This window comes from Homo sapiens, chromosome 1 (genome assembly GCF_000001405.40).
Source record: "Homo sapiens chromosome 1, GRCh38.p14 Primary Assembly".
Lineage (NCBI taxonomy): Eukaryota > Metazoa > Chordata > Mammalia > Primates > Hominidae > Homo > Homo sapiens.
Genome location: NC_000001.11, coordinates 242,526,097 through 242,532,674, shown reverse-complemented (window position 1 = coordinate 242,532,674; position 6,578 = coordinate 242,526,097). Strand labels below are relative to the sequence as shown.

Genomic DNA, 6,578 nt, shown 5'->3' with positions numbered 1-6,578 from the left:
GACACTCTTGTGTCAAAATTGTAGGAGGTACACATGTTCAGCTAACCATAGATCTAGCAACTAGTTTAGTATAATTCAATTTCTTTGTGTCACTAAAATTCAAGTTGCACAATCTTTGGGAAAAATCCTAAGTATACTTATGATTTATTATATTAGAATTTTACTTATGTATCTATAGTAGTCAAATAAATAATTGGTCAATTGGCTAACAGAATTAAAAGGGAGAGAAATGGCATGGCCCTTTTACTATAGTGTTAAATATAGCATATTCCTCACATGCCCCTTCATAATAAAGAGATTAAAGCCTGCAGAGTTCAATGTATCATTCTGAAGCTGCGAATATTACTAAATTATAACCCTACATCTAAGTGAATATCAGGCCCAACTGGTCAGTTTTGGGAAAGACGCCCTGAGTATGTATCTTGTTCCATAGTGATACCTTAGTTGCATCAAGTAAATTAGTATCTGTTTTCTAAAGAAAGACTTTGTATTTTATGTTTAATTCTGTTAAGCAACTCTGAGAGCCAACTTCCTGCTTAGTGACTTTTCCCAACCACTTTGACCTGCCTTCCCAAACCAGCTTGCATATCTCAAATTCTGGGAATGTGTGTTTTTCAACAGCATAAAATGCTGTCTCGATAGGGAACTATTGATTTAGCGTTCTTTTCTGCACCATTAATCCTAACATTTGATCATAATCTTATGCTACTCCTGGTCTCATTAGAGTTTGTCTATTTATAGAATTGTAAATTCCTCTTTCTCAGCATTTATGATTTCTCAGAATTTTGAATCCCCACGGCACTTATAAAATCTTAAATATACACCAGAAACTCAATATTTGTCAAGTTGAAATTTTGAGTTTCCATTTAGCAAAACCAAACTTTGTCCTTTTGCTAAGATCATCGAAATGTGTAGCCATGTTTTCTTTTTAGAAGCTTATTCCCATTTGGGTAATTTTCTCCAGTATCTTCTCCCCAGCTCACCCTTCAGCCCAGGTTCCCCTGCACCTGTAGCTATGTTACAACTACACTTGTCTGCTTCTCCAAGATCAAACTGAAATAATTTTTCATCTTGTTTTGTTTTATTTATCTTGTGTCTCCATGGCCTAGCACTAATCAACTGCCAAGATGAATGATTTTGGAAAAAATAGGAGTGGTCTGAGCATAATTGGAGGAGAAGTGTTAAAAGAGGGAAATGAAAGATATTTAATGTGCCTCTTCCAACTCTGTATATCAATTTAATAGTTTTTATAACTTGAAACCAATCTATCAGGTTGACATGTTGTCAGGCAATCTTGGTTCATGACAGGTTAACTAATTCTTCCTCTATTATTTATACTCTGCCTACATTTAAAACTCAGCCATTGGAGTGGCTTAAAGTAAAAACAAAGACCAGAAATATAACATCATTAAGACTAGGATAAGAACTAGAACCACTGAATCAGGAGGGAGGAGGGGATCACTGGCCTACAAAACCTAAAATCAAAGAAAGTTCTAGCCACCAAGCATAAAAATTAACTCTGAGCTTTCTGAATTTCATTGCTAGGAAATGAATATGTCACATTCTGCCTTCAAAAGATACTGTATAGTGTACAGAAGCTATCAGTAGCTTGAACAAAGGTTGAGATGGTGCACACTGGCTTAGATTTAAGTGATTTGCTGTAGAAAAATGACTCCCACTGTCAGGTATGTTGAAGATCTAAGGAGTCACTGCATTCCTCTTTAGTACAAGTGAACAAATGGTGATGTCAGAGGTGTTACATAGTTTTATGGCACGTACTGTACAAAAATACCAACAATGGATTCTTTCAAAAGAACATAAAAGAAAAGCATGACCACTATTACAGTCAAAGTCTGTTTTACCTGGGTGTCCAAATGTAGTAAATACACATCATTCTCCTATCACTTGACTTAAGGTTAGGTTTCAGTTTCAAAAATGTAAGCATGATTAAGAATTACAGTGTGGCTTATATTATCTTCATATATTTCCTTTTTTACTGTTGAGTTGCACATACTTTATGCTGGGTACCATGATTGATACATAAAAGATCACCTCAGATAATCAAAGTGGAATTTAGAATTCTGGGTGATTTTGAAGTGTTCTCAATTCCATGGCTGTGAGCACAAAGGCCAAATGAAGTGCCAACTTAGGCAACTGTCTGATTAACCTAATCCATCTACACTGAGTCAGGAGAATTCAGACTTTTTTGTTGCCTACCAGAAGCTTTTAGTCACGCTAGATTATTTCAACTATCCTATTTTCTACTTATTTATTCTTAGGACAGCCATTTTCTAATTTTCTGTGTTGATGTGATGGATCTGTCCAAGGCTCTACTGCAAGGCCAAACCTTGTGACCAAACCATAGCATCTTGACAGATTCAATTAGGTAAAGCATCTTGGTTGAGTCCCCACAGCTGGTTGATTGTCAACTGAGCCAACACGACAACCAGGGTTTCTAACTCTCAGAAATATCCCAGTGCCGGCCAGGCATGGTGGCTCACGCCTGTAATCCCAGCACTCTGGGAGGCCAAGGCAGGTGGATCGCCTGAGGTCGGGAGTTCGAGACCAGTCCAGCCAATATGGTGAAACCCCATCTCTACTAAAAATACAAAAATTAGCTGGGTGTGGTGGTGGGCACCTGTAATCTCAGTTACTCTGGGCACCTGTAATCTCAGTTACTCAGGAGGCTGAGGCAGGAGAATCGCCTGAACCCAGGAGGTGGAGGTTGTGGTGCGCCGAGTTTGTGCCATTGCACTCCAACCTGGGTAACAGGAGTGAAACTCTGTCTCAAAAAGAAAGAAAGGAGAAAGAGAGAGAGGAAGGAAGGAAGGAGGGAGGGAGAGAAGAAGAAGGAAGGAAGGAAGGAAGGAAGGAAGGAAGGAAGGAAGGAAGGAAGATCCCAGTGCCATCTGATTTGGTTCTCCTTGTGTAAGTAAATTGGGACCCTCGACCTCACAGTATAAACCCACTCTACCAGGATCTCGCTCTGGGGGCTAGTTGACCTCTCCCTCTCCTCCCCAGTTCTCTCCAGGTCACTGTGGGGGCTCTCAGCCCAGCAGAGATGTACCCAAGCAAGACCATACAGTTTGGTGTTGTGTAAAGGCATTTAGAGTTGAGCCACCCTGAGTTTCTGCCATAGTGTTGCCCCTTGGTCCTTGTGTCTCTTGGGCAGGTCACTCTTTCTGGGTCTTTGTTTCCTCATCTGTAACATAGGGATGGCTCTGTTTACTTTGCAGGATTTTGTGAGAAAAAAGTGATATAATGCCTCTGAGGACCAGCCCACACAGTGACTGGAGTAGGTGGTCAAACAATGAGAATCTTTAGTCTAAAGTAAGTTTGTACATAGATAAGTTCACTTTATTAAATATGTAACATTTAAAAAACCTTCATTGTCATTTTATAACTAATCAATAATAACTACGAGGCTAAAGAAAATACTGTAACATAAAAGACCCTTCTCATATTAATGCTTATGTATTCTTCAGAAAACATTTTCAATCTGGGACTACTTTAATTTTGTTCTACTGGTATTAAATTATTCAATTGTTTCTACAGAAATAATCCTATAATTAACATATGTGGTTAGGAAAGTCATGTTGTTTTTAGCTGTTGAATCTATTTCTTGACAACAAAGAATAGAGCCATTCTTGGGTCAATGATTTTATGTGGTCTTGTATAGTATAAGGGTAATTGAGGAGGACATAAAGCATGCTGTTAGGGAAGGTCTAAGTATTAACATGTTTTATTCTTCAGTAGTAAACCTTTGACAAAATGTAGTAATACTTGGCAACACTACACCTGTGAAAAATACAACTTATAATTGCTAAGAAGTATATATTTGAGATTTTTTTATCGGACATGGTGAAAAAAGAAATCCTTTATTGAGAGTCAATGAACCTGGCTTTTTGACCAGACTCTCTGACTTACATGGCTTTGGGCAGGTCATTTAACCTCCATGAGCTTTGGTTTCCTCCTTTCGAAAGATGGAACTGATAGCAAGTACCAAGACTACTTTCAGATATTTTTCCAAGGAGTAAATGTGATATGTGCTACAGATGTAACTATTGTGGAAATGTAAGGTATTATCATTACTATGAAAGTTTTAATAAAATACTCCCACTTCTTGATACTTTTGGTCTTAAATTTTATGACAATGCAAAGTGCCTAATTCAGACAATATTAACAATTCCTGGTCAATGACATCTGTTAAGTTTAGGTTTGAATTCAATAGAATTCAAATTTGTAGCTGAGTGCAGTTTCTATAATTAATTATAAGCAATCAGGATTAATTGATATAGCTGCTAATGAAAATGATAACTTATTAGAATGACATAAAGAATATTTCTGGGCCTGAAAGTTCTAAGAACAGTAACATTGGACTCTATAGTTTATACAGAAATTTCTCATGTGTCATCCCTGTAGCAATCACTTGAGGTAGCAATGATTATTCCCCATTTACTGGATGAACTTGAAGGCTATGGAAATACAATGAAAACCATGAAAGTCACAATTTAGTAATTAAAGGATCTAGTACTAAAATCTAAATATTGTAATGTCAAATCCAGTGTTTTTCAAAATAAAGAAGCAAAAACATGTTGCCAAGTGTTAGCACCCATTCAGTCATTTATTCACCATAGTTTATTGGAAGCTTATTATATGTAAGGCACTAACAGCACGGTAAAGAATCAGGAGTGGCTCCAGCTCCCAAGAAGCGAATGGGCTAGTAGGATGGATGGTCCATAACACCTGTGTTGCATTCAGAAAATGTAATGGCTATGAAAATGTGCTGGAAAAAGTGCTGTGGAAGTTAATGTAGAAATTCAGTAATTATACATTTCAGTAATATTTTTGGTGCAAAATTCTCATATTATACCTGGCCATCTTCAGAAACACTATTTTTCTTCCCTACAACAGTTTCAGTTGGGTTCAATTTTATATGAAATATTCTTTTGAAGGTCAACAAGCAAGTTCCATATTACTGGCATAAACGATTAACTTGGACAAGAATCCAAGATAGAAAAATAATTATGAATAAGTCTGCGCCCAGGTTTATTTGAACTTGTTGGGTTCATTGAGTCTGGCACTGCATACCAAGTAAGTATGAAACTGTAAAAATTTATATTTTGACTAGTATTTTTGATCATAACAAATGTGATCTATGAATTAATTATAATGCTCAATTCAGTAGTATGCTGTCATATTTATGCCACCAGTGTACCTTCTTCAAAAAATAGAGATTGGCCGGGCGCGGTGGCTCACGCCTGTAATCCCAATACTTTGGGAGGCCGAGGCGGGCAGGTCACTTGAGGTCAGGAGTTTGAGACCAGCCTGGGCTACATGGTGAAACCCTGCCTTTACTAAAAATAAATAACAAAAATTAGCCGGGTGTGATAGTGCATGCCTATAATTCCAGCAACTTGGGAGGCTGAGGCATGAGAATTGCTTGAACCTGGGAGGTGGGGATTGCAGTGAGCCGAGATGGAACCACCGCACTCCAGCCTGGGTGAGAGAGCAAGACTCCATCTCAAAAAAAAAAAAAAAAAAAAAAAAAAAAAAAAAAGAAGGAGATAGTAGCAACTACTGCAGTCACTATGTATAGTCCTATAAAGGTATAGTTTAAAAAAAATCTATTTACTTTGAGAATCTGGCACAATATGGAAACCATTTGTTTAAATTCTTCTATGGTAGAACAGTTCATTATTACTCTGAATTGGATATCTATCACTTGTCAAGGTTTGGCTATATCAAATACCTAATCTCATACAGCAAAAGGCAGAGGTATTCTTTGCAGAAGGGCAATAACATCTTTCTGTTAACAATATTATAAAAGACTGTATAATTGTTTGTCGTCATTTAAATTGTGTGGTTATACTTTAAAGAAAGCATAAGCTATGGAGGCTAAACTTTAATAGTAAAAACTGGGGGACAGTGAATAGTAGGGCAAAGTGTAATAATAAAAAAATCAGATCGTGCCTGTAATCCCAGCACTTTGGGACGCCGAGGCTGGCGGATCACTTGAGAGACCAGCCTGGCCAACGTGGTGAAACCCCGTCTCCACTAAAAGTACAAAAATTAGCTGGGCGTGGTGACGTGCACCTGTAGTCCCAGTTACTCGGGAGGTTGAAGCAGGAGAATCGCTTGAACCCGGGAGGCGGAGGTTGCAGCGAGCCGAGATGGCGCCACTGCACTCCAGCCTGGTGACAGAGCGAGACTCCATCTCAAAAACAAAACAAAACAAACAAACAAAATTATCAGAGATGCTATACAATGGAATGTATAGTTTTCACAGCCTCACCTCCGACAGGGTCTTGCCCTGTCGCCCAGGGTGCAGTGCGATATCGGCTCACTGTTGCCTCCTCTTCCCAGGCTTCAGCGATCCTCCCGCCTCAGCCTCCCAGGTAGCTGAAACCACAGATGAGCACCACCACGCCTGGCTAATTTATTTTATTTTTAGTGTAGGCCCAGGCTGGTCTGGAACTCCTGGGATCAAGTGATCCTCCTGCCTCCTCCTCCCAAGGGGCTGAGATTACAAACCTGAGCCACTCCGCCTGGCCTTCACAGCTTTTCAATCTGGTTCA

At 38.7% G+C, this 6,578-nt stretch overlaps 1 protein-coding gene across 2 annotated transcripts in view; it reads left to right on the top strand.

The window, feature by feature from the left end:
• The first annotated feature begins 2,128 nt into the window (after positions 1-2,128).
• PLD5 (phospholipase D family member 5) overlaps positions 2,129-6,578 on the top strand; it is a 447,561-nt gene continuing 443,111 nt past the window's right edge. Inside the window, exons 1-3 of one of the 2 annotated variants that reach the window (XM_011544115.3) lie at positions 2,129-2,386; positions 3,237-3,330; positions 4,956-5,094. The gene's annotated coding sequence lies outside the window, so the exon portion shown is untranslated. Of the gene's footprint in view, positions 2,387-2,842; positions 2,929-3,236; positions 3,331-4,955; positions 5,095-6,578 lie in introns of those variants that run through there. The other variant, XM_011544116.3, reaches the window with a different exon arrangement.